At 36.8% G+C, this 22,980-nt stretch overlaps 1 long non-coding RNA gene across 1 annotated transcript in view; it reads right to left on the reverse strand.

Moving 5' to 3' along the window:
* Positions 1-22,980, reverse strand: part of HCCS-DT (HCCS divergent transcript) — a 263,596-nt gene that overhangs the window by 29,553 nt on the left and 211,063 nt on the right. The window lies entirely within an intron of this gene.

Here is a 22,980-nt window from a genome sequence, read left to right on the forward strand (position 1 = left end):
CTGTTCCCACCCCCTTTCTTTCTTGCCTCTCTGCATTAAGCTAACACATTCTCAGTCTCCCCTGCATCTATAAGCGTTCAATTATATCACAGTTCCAGACAGGACGGTATAAACCAAAGTCTGCTGGGATCTATCTAGGTAAGCTTTTATTTACCTAATACAGGAAGAGATGTGTCAGCACTACTTTCTCTCTCCCTCCTTGCTCCTTACTGACTTGAATGCAGACATGGTTCCTGGTGCTGTGGTATGCGTCTTGCCACAGTGAGAGGGAAAGGCCAAGAGAACCACAAGAGATAATGGAAGCACTGAGCCACCAAAACAGAAGCCACCTACCTTTAAACTTCTAATTATATGAGAAAAGTAAACCTCAACTTATTTAAGCCATTGTGCCCTAGGTACTCTCTTACTTGCAGAATATCGGACTAACATTTTTTCATGTGTTTATCATTCATAAAGAATACAAAAGGGAGTCAACAGCTGGTACCTCTATTGCATGTTTTTCATCTTTAGTATTTTGTTCTTTTAATATACATTTACTTAATTATGACTGAATTTGGAACTTAATTTGCTTAAAAGCTATTCATTGTCTTTCCTGTTATATGCCTGTATACATCTTTCGGATATTGATTCATAAAAATTCTTTATATCTCAATAAACTCAGCTCTTCATCTGTCATATTTTTCATTTGTCTCTCAACTTTGTGTAGGTAGGTTTTTTGCTAATCAGAAATTTTTAGTTTTTATATAACATGCTTTAAAATGAGATGTCCTATATTCAAATGTTGTTTTTGCTCTTTACTAGTTCTGATTCAGGGACTTTTCTACACTCAGTTATCTATCATTATTATGGTGGGAAATCCTTCCTAGGGTTCTTTTGAGGATAAAATGAGTTAATACATACACGACATTACATTATTTTCTGCATATAATGAGCATGCAAATATGAGCTTCCACTGTTATAATTTACAATTATGCTATTTACCTCATTATTAGGGTTCAAGTTGTTTCCTTTTATGTTTTTTAGAGTTTGAGTCTTGCTTGGAAATCTGTTTTAACTATAAAATTATGTTTAAAAAATCATCTTTTGAAATATTTCTTTTATGATTTTTAAGAAAAATTTTGTTGCAGTTAAAGAACAGAGTTGTAAATGGCAAACAGCAAAAGAGTAAAGGGTTTTTCTTTGGATGGTAGACTAAGGGATAGATATTAAAAATACTTTTATCTGACATTTTTGTAGATGGTTAGAATAGCATACAAAGACACAAGACTCTAGGCTTTCCAGTGACTGAAGAACTTGCTTGGGTAGCCGATGTGAGTGCAAAAGGTGTTGGAAAATATCTGCTGTTTGATTGATAGGTTCTTATAAAATGAAATGAGGTATATGTGGTACTGAGTTGAGCATGGGAAGGAAAGCATGCCCTGGATATCTTCCCAGGTAGCAACACCCTCTAGGAACCAAATAGGGGAAAAGCCTAAGACAGATGATATAATTAGAGTATTAGCAACTATTTGCAAAGTGCTATGCTTATTATTTTGTAAATATGTATTAAGAGGAAAGGCCAGTGCAATCAGATTGTTCTGGACTCAAGTCCCAGCTACTCTACACCCTGTGTTAGATGACCTTGGGGGAGCTAACTGCCCTCAATAAACTTCAATGTTTTTTCTATTAAATGGGATAAACATGAGTTCCTATGTCATCAGGTGATTGTGATGATTGAACAAGATCATGCAGTGCACTTAGCACAGCGACTCTTCTAGTACACACTAAGCACCCAAGAAATGTTACCTGTAATTACTATCCAGACAACACCATTAGGTAGGTATTATCACCCTCATTTTGTGGATGAGGACAGTGCTGTCCAGAGAGCTTAATTAGTTTTCCCAAGTTTATCCAGCTAGTAAGTTATGCTGGGATTTGAACCCAGGTCTGTCTGACTCCAAACCCTACGATCTTCCTATTTATCAAAGTACTTTATGCCTTACTGATTATATGCCTTCTCAGTTCATTGGTATGCACAGTATTTAGATCATCTTCCTAAGGGAAATCATACCTAAAGTCACAGAGAAGACACTTTCTTCATTTTTTCTTTGTGAAAATGTGGCTCCCCTACGGCTTCACCTATAGGTTATAAACAGGTATATGGATCATCCTTCTATGAGAAATCATACCTAAAGCACTAAAAAACAATGGCTTTCTTCAGTTTATGGAAAGGCTCTATTCATATTTCCAATCTTTTCTAAAAATGTGGCTCCTCTATGACTCCATCTGTAGTATACATACAGATACGTGGTAGGTCCAAGTTGGTCTCCCAAGATCAAATTGTGTCTCCCTTTTGGTGGTCTCTACTAAAACAATTTGTTTTAGTTTATGAAATCTTTCAATGCCATTATCAATTGAGCTTAAAATGTTATCAAAAATTTAAATTATTATTAACACAAAAATCTAAGAACTATGGACAATCTACTTAGTGTGGGCTTATCTTTCCCTCGATGCGTATATAAGGGTGGGAATTTCACTTTTTTAACCTACATTAAATTAGAATTTTACAGTACATGCCAGACAAAAATCAGCATTTTTCTCAATTCTATTTCCATTTTAGACTGTAATTTTGCATTGGCTTACATTTTAATAAAGTTGGCATTTTTACCTCTTCCACATCTGGAACATTTCCAATTGGCTTTTTCACATTGTGAACTGAAATAGTAATTCAGTTGCACTGAATTTGCTTTTAGGAATAAACCACCACTTTTGCATTTCTCTCCTTTATGATTTACTGATTTTCAAGATGTGCCAGGAAATACAGAAATATAGGTATACATATATTGTATACACGTATATAGGTACTATATACGTGTATACATATATTGTATACACGTATATAGGTACTATATACGTGTATACATATATTGTACACATGTATATATGTACTATGTGTATACATATATTGTATACATGTATATATGTACTATATATGTGTATACATATATTGTATACACGTATATATGTACTATGTGTATACATATATTGTATACACGTATATATGTACTATGTGTATACATATATTGTATACACGTATATATGTACTATGTGTATACATATATTGTATACACGTATATATGTACTATGTGTATACATATATTGTATACACGTATATATGTACTATGCGTATACATATATTGTATACACGTATATATGTACTATGTGTATACATATATTGTATACACGTATATATGTACTATGTGTATACATATATTGTATACACGTATATATGTACTATGTGTATACATATATCGTATACACGTATATATGTACTATGTGTATACATATATTGTATACACGTATATATGTACTATGTGTATACATATATTGTATACACGTATATATGTACTATGTGTATACATATATTGTATACACGTATATATGTACTAATATATGTGTATACATATATTGTATACATGTATATATGTACTATATATGTGTATACATATATTGTATACATGTATATATGTACTGTATATGTGTATACATATATTGTATAATGTATATATGTACTATATATGTGTATACATATATTGTATACATGTATATATGTACTATATATGTGTATACATATATTGTATACATGTATATATGTACTATATATGTGTATACATATGCACAACTGAAGTTAAAATAAAGCAAGAGTTGCATGCATAGTTGAACTTAATGTTAATTTGATTTATTCATATAGAGTAGCTCTGAGGAGTGAGAAGCTGAATAAAAGCAAATTTAAGAGAGAGAACAAAATATATATATGTAGATTGTTGAGAACACAATTGTTTCCATCCCTTCACTGCTTCTGGAAAATAAGTATGATTTCAATTTGTTCAATATTTAAATTTAAGAAGAATATATTCTGTTAAATCAGTAACTCTGGTAAATCCACTAGATACCCTACATCAATGTGACTCTTAAATGTTTGAAATAATATGACAACAATTCAAGAAGTCTAAACGGTCCTACCTTTGAAAATAAAGGGGAATGTAATTTGCCTGTCAAGAATAGCCACTCCGCCATTTTGTTTGAGGGTGAGAGCATGGTAGGGTAAACAACCATTCCATTTGCTTGGGATTGGGGAGGTTCCCAAGATGTGGGCCTTTCAGTGCCCAGGATTTTCCTGGGCAATCCACAATGAGTTGGCTAGCATACAGCAGGGAAACCTGTCGTGGGTGTTACAAATTGCACCCATCTGGGTTTGATATTGGAACACGTGACTGTCCTTCAAGTGCCCAGAACCAAGATCATCCCTGTAAATATTCACAGTGTCTAGATGGAGGAAAAAATCCTGAAACCACAATAAAATCTTAAATGTTTTAAAAGGCTATAATGAAGGCCTTTTGTAGTTTGATTTCTCCAGAATAGTCAGGATGTTGATATAAACAAAACATTTCCTAAAATTCAATTAAAGAAAACCAACTCTCCATAAGATAAGTGTCAAGTCTAAAATGAACATCAACTTAGTGGTTTGCCATGAGGGAAAGAGATGTTTATATATGCTGAAAATGCAATATTATGTTAAGAAGGCAATTTAGAAAGTAGCTTCTTTTATTATCATAAGCATTGAGTCCTCTAAGATAATAGGATGCCCATTTTACATGAAAAAGTCACCAGCGGCTAATATTCTAGAGGCAAGTTCCAATAAAACTATACTTGAATCTGCCACTGTTGCCTACATTCAGCTATGTCCAGAATTGGGGACCATATTGAAATGCATCTTGTGTAAAGCAAAGACCTCTGAAAATAAGATATTTATGCTCACAGATAAAATATTAAGCGCTTTTAAAATGACTAGACACCTCTCTTATCTCTTGTTTACAATTGGCCATTGTGAACAAGTTCTCAACCAGAACATTGGTTGAGGAAAGCGTTCTGGTTGAGAACTTTTCCATCTACTTTTGAGTTGATTACACTGCTAGACAATATGCACAGATGAAACACAAGAGGGGCTTGGCCTAACTTTCTCCTTTTCATTCTATAAGACAAGTCAGGGTATAAATCAGATGTCAGCTGAGTCATGCTTTCCCTTTTGATTGTCATTAAGTTGGTTGGTATCTCCATCCCAATTACAGAGGAGGTCCTCCATGGATTCATGGAGGTAGGTGGGGCTTGGGTTTCTTCTAGTTGTTTCTGACTCAAATTTCTGCTTCTGATGAATTAGATTGGTGTCTCGATCACCTCACCTTACTGAGTTTATTGTCTTTGGTGACCATAGGCTTGTGCCACTCAGATCTCCCTTTATGAGAACTTCCTGCCAGGAGTATGGTTAGCAGACAACCACCAGCTCTTGTGCATACAGCTCCCCTGTGGCATTTATGCCCTGAGGTCACTCCCAGCCAATGACTGAGCACAGCAGAGGACTAGAGACAGACCCCTGTCTGATGTGGATTCCTCTAATGGGCAAGCTTTGTTCAGGGGCTCCCCATTAGCCAGGCCAAGATGTTCTTGGAGCTGCACTACAGGTTAGGAGTTTTCTGTCCCAATATTCCTTCCTTTCTTCTTTCCCCTCACAGATGTCAGAGTTGCATCATGGATTAACGACTCTCCCTGACACCTCCTGCTTATCTTTCATTGACACTTTCTCCATCTGCATATATGCTTCTTACCGGAGCCAAACTGACACATAGTTTTTTCTTACTGACCTGTGTGTGCTAGACACCACTCAAAGTACCAATGACACAAAGTTCTAGGTATAGCAGTTTTTCATCGAAGGTTGGAGGCAAAGGATAGCGTTCACCCTGTTATACACCAAATGATATGAAACTTAATCTTTAGCATCTCTGCCTTAAAATATTTTGCTCATCCCCCAATCTTGGAATTTCTCATGAACTGTCTTTCCATAGGTTCCCACTTCTTGTCATGTCTTTCACATTCCCAGCTTTGTATCATTTCTATGATCTCCATTCTGCACTCAATATTTGCTGTGCCCCCTAGATTCTTGTTAACATTTAAGCCATTGGGATATCATCTGCCACAGCTCAAGAAGCCTATTATTTATCTTCCTAAAACTGTCAGGCCAGGGTAAAAAATGACATTTTTTCAAACCCTATTGTGCATTATTAAGGATAAAGAACCAAAAGTCTCACGTTTACAGATGAAAAAGGGACATAATCTCCATAACTCTATCCAACCGGGAAGTATTTCCTCATTCTATGAAGCCATAAGAAAAAAAAAAAAAAGAAACATTAAATTGGGTTAAACCAATGGTATTGTGGTAATAATTTTATACATTTGATTCTGGCATTACATGAAGATGAAGCATTTCTCTATTTCTTATGATCAACAAAATTTTAACTCAATGTGCATTCTTTCATTCAACATTTATTTTTAATGCTACCTGTGTGCCCAATGCAGAATTTGTTTTTAAAACAGTAAATCCTTTGTTTGCAAATATAATTTCTTATATTTATTTCTTAGACACCAGTATATGTAAGACAATGAAAGACACCTTACCTCATTTCCATAAATACTTATAAAAAATTTGAAAAATTGTGTGTTTAGGGCAACACTTTTTGTTTGTTGGACATTTGGTCCAATGGTTTCCTTAACTCTTTCTTATTTTCTATGATTTTTACCATAGACAAATGCTTCTTCCATTCAGGCAGGAAGTTGGTTGTGTTTTAAATAAATAAATGAATGCAGACATATATGTGACCATTTTACAAATTTATATGTTTATTTTTTTGCATTTTTTGTGTATGTATGTATTTCCTTCTGAAAGCACACTTGGCCATAATTATGAAAGAAGTACATTACTGGAGACCACAATCTCTGTGTTGAATATTCCTTTTGCAAACCTTTCTGACCTATGACTCCTGGAAGGAAGAAGCACAGAACGGCAGTGATGCTAGGCTGATACTTCTAATGATGCTTGTCTCTCTGGTACTTGGAAGGTAGGATGCATTGTGAAAAAACACTCTTCAACCCGAATAGTTTGGGCTACAAAAAGCAGTAGAGTATGGGATACTGCCCATTTTCAGCAAATGAAATTTGGAAGGAGGATTTCAGAAGTATTCTGGACAACTTGCCCAGTGCCTCAGTCCAGTGTTTAAATGCCAGTGGTGTTTAAAGTGAGACTGTTTGGAAGTCTAAAAGCCTCACATTCAAATTTCATTGCAAAGGGAGCATTCTTAAGTCACATGCAAAAAATATTATGTTTCGGTTCTGAATTATCTGTGTCTAAGCCCCTCTACATTCCACAGTTAACAAAGGTTGAACAGAAGTAACATTTCTGCCCTTATTCTCCTCTCACTGCATTATTTATTATCACTTGAAGCAATATGATGCTGCTAATCCTATGACTGTACAGCCTGACTTGTCCCTTGGGAAATACTCCCAGGGCTAGAGTCTGCTAAGGCTAGGCTAGTCTTAATAATCTACAATTGGCAAGTCATTCGTTTGAGATATCAACCAAGATGAGCCAAAAGACAGCAGAGATTTCTGACCATCAGTCAGTAAGAAAGAGAAGAGAATGCTCAAAGAAATTCTCAAGAGGAAAAATGGCTCAATGAATGGCCATGGACTCAAGTCCCATAACCTCTCCACATCTCAGTATCCTCCTTTGTATAATGGTAGAGTTACACTGGAAAATTCTGGTGTCCTTTTAGCTCTAAAAGTCTACGAATTGAAGTATATGTATGTATTTTTTGAATGACATCAGTGCTTTATCAAACTCGAAATCTGACAGAGCATCCTTTTTTTTTTTTGAGACAGAGTCTCGCTCTGTTGCCCAGGCTGGAGTGCAGTGCTATGATCTCTGCCCACTGCAACCTCTGCCTCCCAGGAGCGATTCTCCTGCTTCAGGCTCCCGAGTAGCTGGGATTACAGGCACATGCCACCATGCCCGGCTAATTTTTGTATTTTTAGTAGAGACGGGGTTTCACCATGTTGGCCAGGCTGGTCTCGAACTCCTGACCTCGTGATCTGCCCCCACCTCCCAAAGTGCTGAGATTACCGGTGTGAGCCACCGTGCTCGGCCCTGACAGAGCATCCTTCAAAGGTGCACCCCTTGTGTTTTGTTTCACTAGTTTCACCATGTTAAAAAAGAAAATATTTCATTTAGAAACCAACTAGTAAGCATAAAATTTAAAAACGTGGTGGAAGTTGTCAGTAGATATCCATGTATGTGTCAAAAGGTGGTGAAAGGGATTGTCCAATTTGTTAACACCTCATTTTTTGATCAGCCCCTCCATAAATACCTTTCTCAAATCTCAGAAAGAACAAGAACAGAATATACGTAAGCTGGGCTTATTGAATGAGTCCAAAGCCTTGTAGGAAGATATAAAGCCTTGAAACCACAGATTCTCAGTAAGTGACACGCAAATGTATTCCAACCCTGCAGTCTGCCATTTAAAGGAAGCAGCTCTTATTACATCCTGGGTTTACTTATTTGTTTGTTTTGTTTTGTTTCAATTTTACTGAAGTTTGATCACATCTGGCAAATGTCTATACAGCAGAGGGGAGAGGGAAAGAGATGGAATGGGAATAAGAAAATAAACTTGCCATAGGAGGAGGGGGAGTTCCAGAAATATTTTCTACACAAGTTTCCATAATAAGCCAATGGTAATAAGGTCTCACCACATGCCAGGCACTGGGTGAGGCCTACAAGGCACCATGCTAGATGGACATCAAAGAGAGAGGGATGAAACACAGCTACTTGGCAGACGCATCTGAGTTAAAAACCCTTTTGCACGGGCTTGAGAGAGGCTGTTGTCCCCTGGAGAGGCTTTGGCACGGCCAGAAGAAAACATCAAAGACACTCCAGACTTCAAATCCCCTCCAAGGGTGCGATCAGCAGGACAGGAAATGGGAAAGTCATTCTAGAAGGGATTTGGAAGGGAAGGGGCTTATCCACGGATGCCCCTCACCCTGCACATGAGCTCTCACCATGTGTACAGTTAACAGACATGATATGGTGAACAGCTTGGCACCCAGTCAGTAGCAAGTCTTACTCTAGCCCCCGACCAAGAAGCTGTGGGGTAAGGCGACACAAGGAAAGATAATGCAATAAGGATGTTTTGTTGTCTTCATGGTCGACTTAATAGTTTGAAAGGATACTATAGAACAGGGAAGCTTGCATTCTAAAACAACAGAAGCACAAATAAATAACCAAAGATAAAAGTCCAAAGACCAAAGTCAACCAAAAGAAAATGAACAAATAGGGTTTGCCTGAAATAATATCTGGCATGCTAAACTAAAATTCCTGGTAACCCAGCAGGGTTGCTTCATGCTTATAGTACCCCAATATGACCAAGGAACCAAAAGTTGCCAACAAACACAAGGAAAGGCCTTTAATTCCATGTCACTGGGAAATAATGACAGACTATGAAATCTGTCCATGTGCAGAGCCCAAACAAGACTGAAATTTCACATGCGGCCTGCCATTGAAGTGGGACCATAAAAATGAAGTCAGCCAAGCTGTTTTTTTTTTTTAAAGACAAAGAGCTCCTACAAAAACAAGGAATAGAAACTTCTTTGAAGAGATAGGAATGTGCAAGCAAATGTATGGGATACTGTGGATGTATATTGGTTGATTAAACCAAATAACACACACCACATATGTACATATGCGTACACACACACACACACACACACACATTTGAAGTTGAGCAAAGCTGAGATTTTTAAAGTAAAGCTGCAGCAAGTGATATATTTTTTAATGAGTTCCCAAGCCTGGTAATCTTCTCTGCCACATGCCTAGTTAGCGAGGACCCATGCATGCAGCTTGATAGCTGTGTAGCATAATGGTCAAGCTTGGAGTTTCTGGAGTGAAACCTTCTGGCCTTAGATAGCAGCTTCACTACCAAGTATCAGTGTGACTTAGAAAAGGTCCTGGACCAGACCTCAGACAACATGGGCATAATAGCAGTACTTACCATATATGGCTGTTGTAGGTATAAAGTGAGATAATACATGTAAAGCACTGGACTGAACCCTACCACATATTACGGACTCAACAGATATTCACTATTAATATCATAAATTTATCATAAGCTCTGTGCCCCATATCCCTTTGTAGTATGCACAGCAACTAACAGAGCAAAGAGTAAAAATAGTATTTATTAAATACCTGTTGTTTGATTTACAAATTAGGACCCTATTGTTTGTTTGATTTCCTAAGTCCCACAATATAATTGGTGACCTATAAAACAAAATTGTTTTCTTTTCTTTTTTCCTATGTGTTTATTTTCATCAGTTACTTAAAAAAATTTTTTTCCACTGTAGTCAGTTTTAAAAATTCATCTTCTTAGAACAAAGTAAACACCTGTTCCTTGTCATCAGTATTAAATCCCATAAATAATCCTTCTGGAGCCCAGCACAATATTAGCACCTTAGAATAATGTTCCTCACGATATCTCCAAGAAGCATATTCTTCACATGTCCCTATTTTTAAAAATACCATATTAAAGTTAATTTAAAAATGCTGAATTAAACAATGTTAATCAGGCATGCAGGACTTACCAGTCATAAAAGTGCTAATGTGTGCTGTGGATCTCCAAGAGATGAATATAAAATGAAATGCTGTGTTCCAACAGGTTACTTGTCCACACAATTCCTTTTTCATGGAATTACCTCTCTCACAGAGCTATAACCCTCATACAGCAGTAATGCTCTGTGGTAGGCACTTTGGGACATTCTATGTTCAAGGGATGACCTGAAGTCTACTGATTTTATCCTGGAAAGTGGGGGTCACCATCTCATGAGAACACAGTCACTTTTCTGCTCAGGTGGTCTGCATATAAAGCAATGATAGCTACAAAACATCAGTATCCTGATCCCCAGGGCTGATTCTGATGATTTTACTGGATGGAATGGTGTTTTTTTTCACTTGCACTACTCCCTGTGTAGGTTCCTCCTGCACCTATAAGCTCAGAAATATCAAATTCTTAAAAAGATGAATGTAGTACTGGTTTCGGTCAAGGGCATCACTTATTCTGGCTGTGCGTTATGCTGAACACATCATCAGTGGATACTGCAAGATAACACAACCTTCATTTGTACTGTGCTTTCCATAGTCATTTAAGCCTGCATTGCAATTTAGTTTCTTGATTAGCGTTTCCTAAACTTTAGGATCATAATAATCACCAGTGGAACTTGGGAAAAATCATGATTCTTGAGTTCCACCAGCCCTGCAGTCTCCAGTTGGGAGGTCATATGTTTTGAAATGCTCTCCTAGTGAGGCTTATGATCAAGCATCTTTTGGAAATTCAAACTTGGCTACATATTACATGTTTTATTTTTTTTTCCAAATACCAGAATTCTAAACAAAACCCACTGCATCAGAATCTCCAAAGGTGGAATGGGTATCTGTATTTTTAAATGTCTAAGAAATCAGTCAGTCTTTGAGGGGAGCCACAGCTCTATACCATACGCCAGAGATGTACTGACAGCTAGGGATGAAATTGGAAACCAGCTTCTCCAATTTGAAGTCTCAGGTTTCTTTTATTGGACCACTTAATATTGGTCATGAGGTACTGACCAGCATGGCACCCTAAACGGGAGGAGCCCAAATACATACTGAACGAGTAAGGAAGGAATGTCAAAAGTAATACCTGAAAATAAATACTTTTCTCTGAAAATAGGCTGAGTTGAGAGAAGGGAATTCATCCAAAATTTCCCCATGTGGTTTGGCCAATAGGCTCTTCTTGAGAAGATGTGATCATTCCACTTTACCTTCCAGTATTTTCTACAGTGGAAAACAGCTCCATAGGTTTTCTTCAGGACATGAGATACCTCCCCAAACATTATCAGGCAGTTTTCTGACTAGTGATATGTTTTCCCAATGTATTTTCATTTCTGTTTTGTCCCCCCAACCATGAGCCTGAATATATATAGAACAAGCTCTCCACGGGGAGACATGGCCTCCTGAGTGGGAAATGTGTGAGCCCTGCTGTAAAGGAGGAGACTCATCATCAGCTATTAGACTCTAGAAACCTCATGCTAGAAAGAAGAGGCAATCTCAACACAGTTACAAAACTAGCTAATCATACTGTCAGCCCTGAGAAACTCTTATTTGAAGAATTAGCACAAATGGTAGAAGGAAGTGAAAAAGAATTAAAAGAGAACTTCTGGAACTAATTTTGTTAACATGATTCCTACAACAAGACACCCCTCAGGGATCAAGATGCAATTTCTTTTGTAAAAAATTTTTTTATATTTCCATAGGTTTTTGGGGAAACAGGTGGTGTTAGGTTACATGAGTAAGTTCTTTAGTGGTGATTTGTGAGATTTTGGTGCACCCATCACCCAAGCAGTATACACTGAACCCAATTTGTTGTCTCTTATCCCTCACCCCCTTAAGACGCAATTTCTTTTTAACAGTTCATCTTTCCTGGGCGATAAATTTTAGACTTACAGAAGAGTTTCAAAGATAGTACAAAGAGTTCTCATATATCCTTCATCTAGCTTTCCCTATCCTTCACATCTTATATAACCATCAAAATTTTATTAAAACTAAGAAATTGACTTTAGCTTAATACCATTTTAAATGGTATTAATACCATTTAAATAAATCCAAAGTACAGGATTTATTCATATTTCATCAGTTTCCCCACTGATGAAAAAGAAATCCTGTCCCTTGAGAGGTTTTTAAATCAAGACATGTCTTTTGTTGTTGTTGTTGCAGGCATCCAGTGAGGATTCCACATTGCATTAACTTGTCACATTTCCTTAGTCTCCTCTGTTCTGTGAGTTTCTCTTTCTTTCCTTGTCTTTCAGGACTTTGACACTTTTGAGGAGTACTGGTTACTTCTTTTGTAGAATGTCGTTCAATTTGGGTTTGTCTGATGTTTTCTCATGATTTAGAATGAGGTTTCACATTTGGGGAAATAATACTCCTAGATCACCTAGCTAAGCTGGTGTCTGCCAGAATTCTCTACAATAAACTTACTATTTTCTCTTTGTAATTATTAAATATGTTGGGAGAGATACTATCCAAACAAATATCCTGTTATTGCCTAGACTATCACCCACTCACTTTAACGTTCATTCGTGGATTTTTCCTGAGACAATTACCACTATAGTTTACTAATTCTATTTTTGAACTACTCAATTTAGAAGTTCTATTTTTTAATTTCCATCATTCTTTTTACTTTTATTCATTGGAATTATTCTGTAAGGTACAGTTGTTGTTTCTCCTCCATTTAAGACAAAATATTGAAAGGATAGAAACAGGGTATATAATTTGAGGTAGACTGGTAGAACAGCATGCATAGTTGATTGGATCTTCAGAATATGATACTGGACCACCATCCACTGATAGTATTCTACTATAAAGACAAGCAAAACATGCACAGGGCTGGGCACAGTTGCTCACGCCTGTAATCCCAGCAATATGATACTAGACCACCATCCACTGAGAGTATTCTACTATAAAGACAAGCAAAACATGCACAGGGCTGGGCACAGTTGCTCACGCCTGTAATCCCAGCACTTTGGGAGGCCGAGGCAGGTGGATCACTTGAGGTCAGAATTTCGAGACTAGCGTGCCCAACATGGTGAAACTGTGTCTCCACTAAAAACAAAATTAGCCAGGCATCGTGGCATGCAGCTGTAATCCCAGCTACTTGGGAGGCTGAGGCAGGAGAATTGCTTGAACCCAGGAGGTGGAGGTTGCAGTGAGCTGAGATCGTGCACTGCACTCCAGCCTGGGTGAAAGAGTGAGACTCTGTCTCAAAGAAAAAAAAAATCAACAAAAAAAACCATTCACAGGGCGTGAAAAGTTCTGGAGTTTCCACCTAAACTCCAGGTTTAGGATGCAGCAGGGTGGAGATGATGTGAGGAGGGGGTTGTTCCTGGTGGTGTCCATCTGAAGATGAAGAAGATGAAACACTAGCCAGGAACAAAAGTATTTCTGAGGTTCAGAGAGTATAAAGGCAGAAAAGGCTGAACAGGTGAGTGGCAATTGATGCTTGGTTATGAAACCAGTCAATATCAAAAGAATCTAAGCAAAAGGTGGCAGGCCAGTGACAAAATTCCATAAGGAAAATAGGCCAAAATCTTATGGGGCTTAAGACTGAACACAGAGGACTTTGTATGACAGCAGGGAATCCAGGCAAACGTAATAGACCCAGAAAACAAAAAGATCAGCTGGTATCATCAGAATTGTTCTCTGTGAATGGCCAGAAAGAAAATGTTTTAGGCTTTATAGTCTGTATAGTCTCTGTTCAACAACTCAACTCTGCTGCTATTACATGAACATGACCATATACATTATGTAAAGGAATGGCCATGGCAAAATTTGACTTGCAGTAGTAGCCAGAGCACAATTTGAGCACTGTATAATTTACCTCTTGATCAGTCCTGTCTCAACTTGAAAACTTCCCAAGGGGCAGAGAACTAAAAAAATGACTATAGTCACTTAAAATGAGGCATAACAATTTTACGAATTCTTGCTAATGATAGGGTCTTTGAGTTACTTTAGTTATTGTTTTTATCTAGACAGAGGGGTAAGCATTACTTTGGAACTTAATCAAGTTAGTTATTTATAGTACGTTTCCCCAAATTAGATACATTACACACTTTTATTTGGTAGTTAGAGTTCAGAAGTACATTATGTTGAAGTTTCTTGAAATTTTTTTGAACCAAAATTGAATACAAGTCACTGTTATTATTAAATGACCTCTTAACTTGAAATTTTATGATATGAGTAATTTGAACCAAGTTCTTGCCTTAAATTATTTCAGTAAGTTGAAATAAAGGAAATGCTAACATTCTCTCCATCCTTTGATTCATCTCTGGCCTGGTGTTTTGTTTAATGTTCTCCTTAAACATTATACCTTTGAAATATAAGCTTTTAAAACATAATAGTGACTAAATAGAGGAGGATGAACCAGGGGAGAACTTCAAATCATTTCACTCTAGGAGGGTTAAAATATATAGAAAATGTTAAACTAATCCTTTTGGGAGTGAGATATCAATTCCATTTTCCTTGTACCCTCTGGGCTTTTCTTGAATCTTTGAAATCCTTTCCCTATAACTGGAATCTCTGTGAAAATATTTCTGTATATTTATTCTCAAGTAGCATAAAAACACTTTAGAATTCTTTGTTAACTTAATTTTATGATATTTTACAATTTTGACAGCCTTGGAACTTAAATAGACACAAATATAATGCAAGATAGACAAAATGCATGACCATTCATCTGGGAGATGAATAAAAAGAAAAATTACCTTTCAATATTTTCAATTTCCATAATGTTCTATTAGTTCCCTGGAAATTTAATTTCAAACACATGTCACACTTTACAGATTTAATGTGAAGTAAAGGAATAAATTTCAGTGAAATATCAAAAAGATGTTTTCACATTTTAAATTTCATTAGACTGAATATTGGTATAAGACATACAGGATTCATGTCACAATCTACTATTTTGTAACATTGGAATTGAAATATTATGCAAATTATTTTTCATCTAAGAATTTTTCAGCAATTTGCTTTTACCTTGTGAAAAAAATAATAGTTTCACACCCCCAAACCAGTAGACAGACTATAGAATCACTTGGGTTTTAGGGCTATAGAAATTCCAATTATTATATTCATGCTTTCCTTTGGGTATAAATTAAGTAGGCCATGGGACAGTTTTGTAGAATGACCACAGCTTTACAAACCTTATGGTTCAGCAGATGTGGTTGTAAGATATGGGTTCACTGAAAAATATTCACCACTAAGCAATTTGAGGACTCCATTCTGAGGTTTTGATTTAAAAACCAGGAATTTCCAGTTGAAAATGGGTAGATTTACCATCATATTGGTCTTCAGATACAGAAATATTCAGTTGTGTCACATAAGCAACAATGTGAATCAGGAGTATTTCAAATTGCAATATTTTTACAAATCTGCAAGTCATGAGCTGAGAAAGGTGTTCAGCACATGCAATGACTCCTATTTCAGTTTCTTTTTGTTGACCTCAAGATATTCTGGGGCTTTTCTTGGTGTATAAATTAGAAGCCTTCATGGAGGCATTCACTTTGAAAGATTACCTCAATATTTAAGAAAATTATTTGAACAGTGTATTCTCTGATTAGTAAAATATGTGCATTTTCGAGTAAATGTGGTATTATTGAAGTGTTCTAAGATTTTAGAGGAAATATCATAGCTACAATCATTTCCTGGGCTGTGGATTTGAATAACATTATCCATATGTACATTGAGAAATTTCATAAAATCCTGAAATGCACAGGAACCAAGTAAGTACCTAGACATCCATGAGAACAGAGACAATGGAGCTTCAGAAACACATTAGTCAAACTCATGCTTCAAAGGTTTGAGTTAATAAAAAATTGAGTCAGACCAGCAGTACTACTTTCATCTAGATCAAAACTTCCCACTCTAATTCCTTGACTGTGAGAGGAAAGTGTATTTCCAGATTTTTCTTTGTAAAATAAAAGAAAATCTGAAAAATGCTGACATACTTCCTCAATGGTTTTAGAACTTGTGAAACTCATTACGAAACTCGTTGAGTTACAATCTAACATTTCCATAAAACAGGAAAGGCTGATGAAATTAACATGCTAAAAAGTTGCAAGGGAAACCTACCTCTACAATAAGGCAGGATTGCAGTACTGATCCTCAATGAGTGCTGTTTCTCCACCTGGGGGATAATTCCTAGTTGGTGGAATAGTGGAATACTTAGTCCTCAGAACCTTTTTTTTTTTTGAGATGGAGTCTCGCTCTGTTGCCCAGGCTAGAGTGCAGTGGCGTGATCTCTGCTCACTGCAAGCTCTGTCTCCTGGGTTCACGCCATTCTCCTGCCTCAGCCTCCCGAGTAGCTGGGACTACAGGTGCCCGCCACCATGCCTGGCTAATTTTTTGTATTTTTAGTAGAGGCAGGGTTTCACTGTGTTAGCCAGGATGGTCTCTATCTCCTGACCTCTTGATCCGCCCACTTCGGCCTCCCGAAGTGCTGGGATTACAGGCGTAAGCCACTGCGCCCGGCCCCTCAGAGCCTTTTAAGCTGTTCCAGTTTCTCACTTACTTTCCCATGGAATATTCAGAGTATCACTTACGGTTTTATTAGTCAGAACTCTTTGGTTTCCCAATCACATGTCCCTGTTTACTTGTAGTGTCCTTGAAAATGACCACACAAAACCTCACTGAAGTCACTCATATAGATAAATGAAGACCAGGAAGAATAAAAGTACTGTTTCAATTGCCTATGAAGTTGTCTGTTTTCTCTCACTAGATTATAATCTCTGTGAGGGTAGGGACATTAAGCATTTATCCTCAGGGTGTCATCAACACTAGTATGGTAGTTTGTACATAATATAGGAGCTCAATAAACTATTTTAGTTTGATTGATTACATCTGGGGTTATTAGCCCCTACACAGTGTGTTTCCTCTACTTATTATCAATTAAACTTCACAGTGACTTTTCCAGTTAGGCAATATTATCCTAAATTGCTGAAGTTCCAAGGTAACATCATAGGAAAGCAAAATAACTGGCATGAGAACTCAGGGTTTCTTAGTCCAGATTTATTATTTCCACTCCCCATCAGCTGCCTGAGAAAGTATTCAATGGACAGTAGTAGTTTCAAAATCTTTTCTCATTCCACAAAATAAAGGATAATAACTAGATTTTTAAAAATATAAATACCTAATATAAGAATCCTTTCTTGACCACAGAAAAGGAAGGGTTTTGAAATCCATTATTCCTTTCAACTTTGAAGGAACAGAAAAGTCTTCAGTTAATTATTTAGGGAAAAGACTTCCCAATCCCCAATCCAATATTTTCCTAATCACATTCCTAGTTGGAACATAGGCACTGAGTTTGGAACCTGAAGCTTATTTCCTGTCTAAAATTGTTTTCATTCATCGTATGTGAACACTTGTTTTTTATTGCAAAGTTGTTTACAAAGTTGAGCTGCCGGAATACATTTCTTTTAATGAACAAAAGAGTGATGGAATATTTAGCTGGAAGGAATTCACAGAGCTGCATGCAACTCGAAAATCGTTTTAAGGTTTAAAAGTTGTAATGTAGGCTTTCTAGTCCAAAGTGGAGGAATATAGAGGTAAAAAATTTTTAATAAAAGAATTGAATAACTCAGAAAAGGAAGTCTGACCATCTCTTCAAACTAAACAGAACTTGCTTTCATCTAAAATAATGTTTCATTCAATAAACATTAATGAATATAAAATCCTTGCTACATGCCAGGCATCAGGATACAAAGTTCATTAACATTGATCCTACCCATAACATAAAAGATCAATAATTTCATATCTTCATAAAAAATGGCAAATGACTTTCTAAAGGCAATTCATATAAGTGAGAGCAAATATTCAGAACCCCAGCAATTAGAACAATAATATCAACACATAAGGCTGAGATCAACTGCATATACAAGCCACCTTGAAGACAAAAACCTGGTACTTGGTCTATAGAATATGTGAATCAAAAGAGAGTATTCCTTTTTTTAATCGGTGAAACTTCAGTCTTTTTACTTAAATCAAGATATAATTCATGCACCATAAAATTTGCCATTTTCAAGTGAATGATTCAGTGCCTTTTAGTATACTTACAGAGTTGTGCAATTGTCACAACTATCTAATTCAATTTTCATCACTTTAATTAGAAACTCTGTACCCTCTAAGCTGTCATTAGCTGTTCCCTCCTTCCCCTAGTCCCTGGGAACCACACATCTGCTCTTGGTCTCTATGGATTTGTCTATTCTGGACATTTCATATCAATGTAATCATACAATATGTAGTCTTTTGTGATGGACTCCTTTTACTTAGCATAATGCTTTGAGTTTCATCTATGTTGTAGCAGGAATCAGTACTTCTTCCCTCTTTATAGTTGAAAAATATGTCATTGGGTGGATGGACTACATTTTAATCATTCATCAGTTGATGGACATCTGCATCGTTTATATTTTTGGCTATTATAAATAATGTTAATATGAACATTTGTGTACAACTTTTTGTGTGAACATGTTCCTTTGATAGGATTAACTTAGAAAAAAGAAAAGTAAGAGTGAAAAAGGCAGCTAACACTGTGCCAAAGACAGCAAATGGCCTATTATAAATCCACAAATCAGGATTCTAATATTCCCTAATTATTCCGAAGATAAGTCACTATGTCCTTTGCTACAGGACATATTCATGGGCCCCAAACCAGGCATACTAAATTTGAATTTCCAGGGAAGGAGGGTGAAAATCTCTATATTTAAACAAGCCTCCCAAGTGATTCTAATCATTAGCCAAGTTCAGGGAACACTGGTTTAGTCTTTGCAACTCAAAGTTGATTCCTGAGAATCTCTAGCACTGCATCTCCTGGAAGCTTGTTAGAAATGGAGAGTCTCAAGCCCCACTCCAAACCTACTGAATCAGAATCTCATTTTAACAAGATCCCCAGGTGAAAGGACTCCTTATTCAATAAATGGTGCTGGGATAGCTGGCTAGCCATAAGCAGGTGAACGAAACTGGACCACTACTTTTCACCATACACAAAAATTAGCTCAAGATAGATTAAAAACTTAAATATAAGACCTAAAACTATAAGAACCCTGGAAAATACCATTCTGGACATGGGCCTTGGGAATGAATTTATAACTAAGTCCTCAAAAACAGTTGCAACAAAAACAAAAATTGCCAAGTGGGACCTAATTAAACTGAAGAGCTGCACAGCAAAAGAAACTATCAACAGAGTAGATAGACAACCTACAAAATGGGAGAAAATATTTGCAAACTGTGCATGTGACAAAGGTCTAATATCCAGAACCTATAAGGAACTTAAACAATTGAAAGAGTAAAAAATAAATAACCCCATCAAAAAATGGGCAAAATACATGAACAGACACTTCTGAAAAGAAGACATACAAGCGTCCAACGAACATGAAAAAATGCTCCACATCACACATCAACAGAGAAATGTAAATCAAAACCACAATGAGATACCATCTCACACCAGTCACAATGGCTATGTGTAAAAAGTAAAAACACAACAGACACTGGCAAGGCTGTAGAGAAAAGGGGACATTTATACACTGTTGGTGGGAATGTAAATTAGTTCAGCTACCATGGAAAGCAGTTTGGAGACTTCTCAGAGAACTCAACACAGAACTACCATTTGACCCAGCAATCCCATTACTGGGTATATACTCAAAGGAAAATAAATCATTCTACCAAAAAGACACATGTACTTTTATGTTCACTTTGGCACTATTCACAATAGCAAAGACATGGAATCGACAACCTAAGTGCCCATCAGTGGTGGACTGGATAAAGAAAATGTAGTTCATATATACCATAAAATACTATGCAGCCATAAAAAAGAATGAAATCATGTCGTTTGCAGCAACATGGATGCAGCTGGAGGCCATTATCCTAAGTGAATTAACATAGGAAAATATCGTAAGTGAATTAATATAAGATTCCCAACCCTAGTTGCACATTAGATTTTACCTAGAGTGCTTTTAAGAAATATGATCCCTGTGTCCCACCCCAGGCCAATTAAAGCAGAATCTCTTAGGAGTTGGAGGTTGGGCATCAGTATTTCATTAGATTATTTTAGGTCCCAGGTGGGTTTAATGTGCAGCCAGGGTTAAGACACCTAGGAAGTCGTGATCCCTCTCCGGCAGCAGTCCCCAACCTTTTTGGCAAGAAGAACCAGTTTCCTGGAAGACAATTTTTTTCCACGGATTCGGGGATGGGTTTCAAGATGAAACTGTTCCATCTCAGATCACCAGGCACTAGATTCTCATAAGGGGTGCGCAACCTAGATCCCTCACATGCTCAGTTCACAATAGTGTTTGCGCTCCTATAAGAATCTAATGCCGCTGATCTGACAGTCGGCTGAGCTCAGGAGGTAAGCCTGCCACTCACCTCCTGCTGTGCGGCCCTGTACCGGCCTGCCGCCTGGGGGTTGGGGATCCCTGCTCTAAGGTAAGGCTAGGAGGTGAGTCCAAGAAGAATACTACGTTGTCACACAGCCTCTCCCACTGCAATACAGACATAAAATTTCATATACTTAATCCTTTAGTCCCACTATTTTCAAAAAGGGAAAAGGGAAGGGAAGGAGGAAGGGGAAAGGGAAGGGAGAAGGGAGAAAGCGAGTGAGAAGAGAAGGAAAAGAAAAAAGGAAGGGAAAAGGAAAGGGGAAAAGGAAAAGGAAGGAGAAAGGAAAAAGGAAAGGAAAGGAGGGAAGCAAGGAGGGAGGGAGGGAAGGAGATATAAGAGAAGAAAAAAGTGTTATAATATGCTACATAAGAACCTTATAGTTTGAATCAATTGCAACAATTTTTATTGGAGCATATAAAAAATTTCCCAGTTAAGTTTTAAAAAATTCTGTTGGGGTATCATTTACATACAGGGAAATTAATCCTTTTAGTGTATTGTTCTGAATTTTGACAAACCCATAAGCTTGTGTAACCACCACGGCAATCAAGGCACAGCAATTCCTTCACTCCCAAAAATTTCACTCGTGCTGACTCTGTAGTTAGCTCTTCTTTCCACCTGAAGACAACCACTGACCACTTTTCTGTCTCTACAATTTTGCCTTTTCAGGATGTCAAATAAGTGGAATATTGATTCTGGCTTTTTTCACATAGCATAATGAATTTCAGATTCATCCATGTTGTTTCATGTATCTGTAGTCTGTTCCTTTTATTGTTGAATACTATCCCATTGAATGGAAATGCCACTGTTTGTTTATTCACGCACCAATTATATGTTTGTGTAGTTTCACACCAGTCGATGTTTGGGTAGTTTCTAGTTTTTGGCAATTATAAATAAAGCCACTATAAACATTCACATACAGGTTTTTGTGCAAATATACATTTTAGTTTCTCTTGGGTTATTACCTAGGAGTAGGACTGTAGCATTGTATGACAATTTTGTGTTTAACTTTATAAGAAACCGCTATGCTCTTTTCAAACAGACCCCAGTGTTTTGGCTTCTCATCAGCAATATATGAGAGTTCCAGTTGTTTTGCATACTTGTCAACATTTAATACTGCCAGGCTTTCTGGTTTGTTTCTTTTAGTTTTAGCCATTCTGTGTAGTGATATCTCATTGCGGTCCTTTTAAGTTTTGATGCCCTAAATTATCCTCAACTGTATTTTTTTAACCTTGTTTTTTAAAATCTAGCAGGTAACCTGTTTTGTTGTTATTGTTTTTTTTCCCAGCATTAAAAAAAACTTGTACAGAATTAGACAGAAGAGTATAATAAATCTGTGTGAACTGATCACCTAGCTTCAATGGTTGTCAGTATTTGCCATTTCTTTTCATCAGTCACCACCATCAATTTTGTTTCTGGAGTCCTTTAAAGCAAATTTCATACTTTATTTCATTAGTTAATATTTCAATACGAATCCCTGGAGGAACTTCAAAAATAAAGCAAAGGTAATCACATATAACAAAATTAGCAATAATTCTTTAATATCCCCTAATAATCAGTCTATTTTCAAATATCCTCAATTGCCTCAAGCATGTCTTTTAAAAAACTGCTTTGTTTAAATTTAATTTGCTTATGATATGAAGTGGAAGCTATAAAATCCAAGGTCCTACTTTTTTTTCAAATGATTGTGGTTCCACTCAATTTTCAGAAATAGTTTGAAGTCAGTTCAGATTTTACTGAGCTATAGTTTATCTATTCAAATTATATTTTTGTTATACAACAGCAATTGGGAATTATAAGGCAGATATTAAGAACATTGAATTGGCATATCATTTAACTGACAGATCAAAACAGTTAAAAGATGCCTGCCACTAATGGACAGTACAGCCAATTGGTTCTGTTGGCAGTGAATATATGAGTTGGCATTACCAGTCCAGGGTAGTGGGGAGAGGACAAATGGGTAGTAGGGGAATGGGAAGGGATTCTTTATTTGGCCAACAGACAGAAGGGATCACTTCTCTCACCTGGCATTGTTACAAATAAGGTTTGTTCATAGTGGGCCCCTAGCACAACTATGGAATTGATAAAACACTATCAAGAGGTGTGTGTGT

Source organism: Homo sapiens, chromosome X (assembly GCF_000001405.40).
Source record: "Homo sapiens chromosome X, GRCh38.p14 Primary Assembly".
Lineage (NCBI taxonomy): Eukaryota > Metazoa > Chordata > Mammalia > Primates > Hominidae > Homo > Homo sapiens.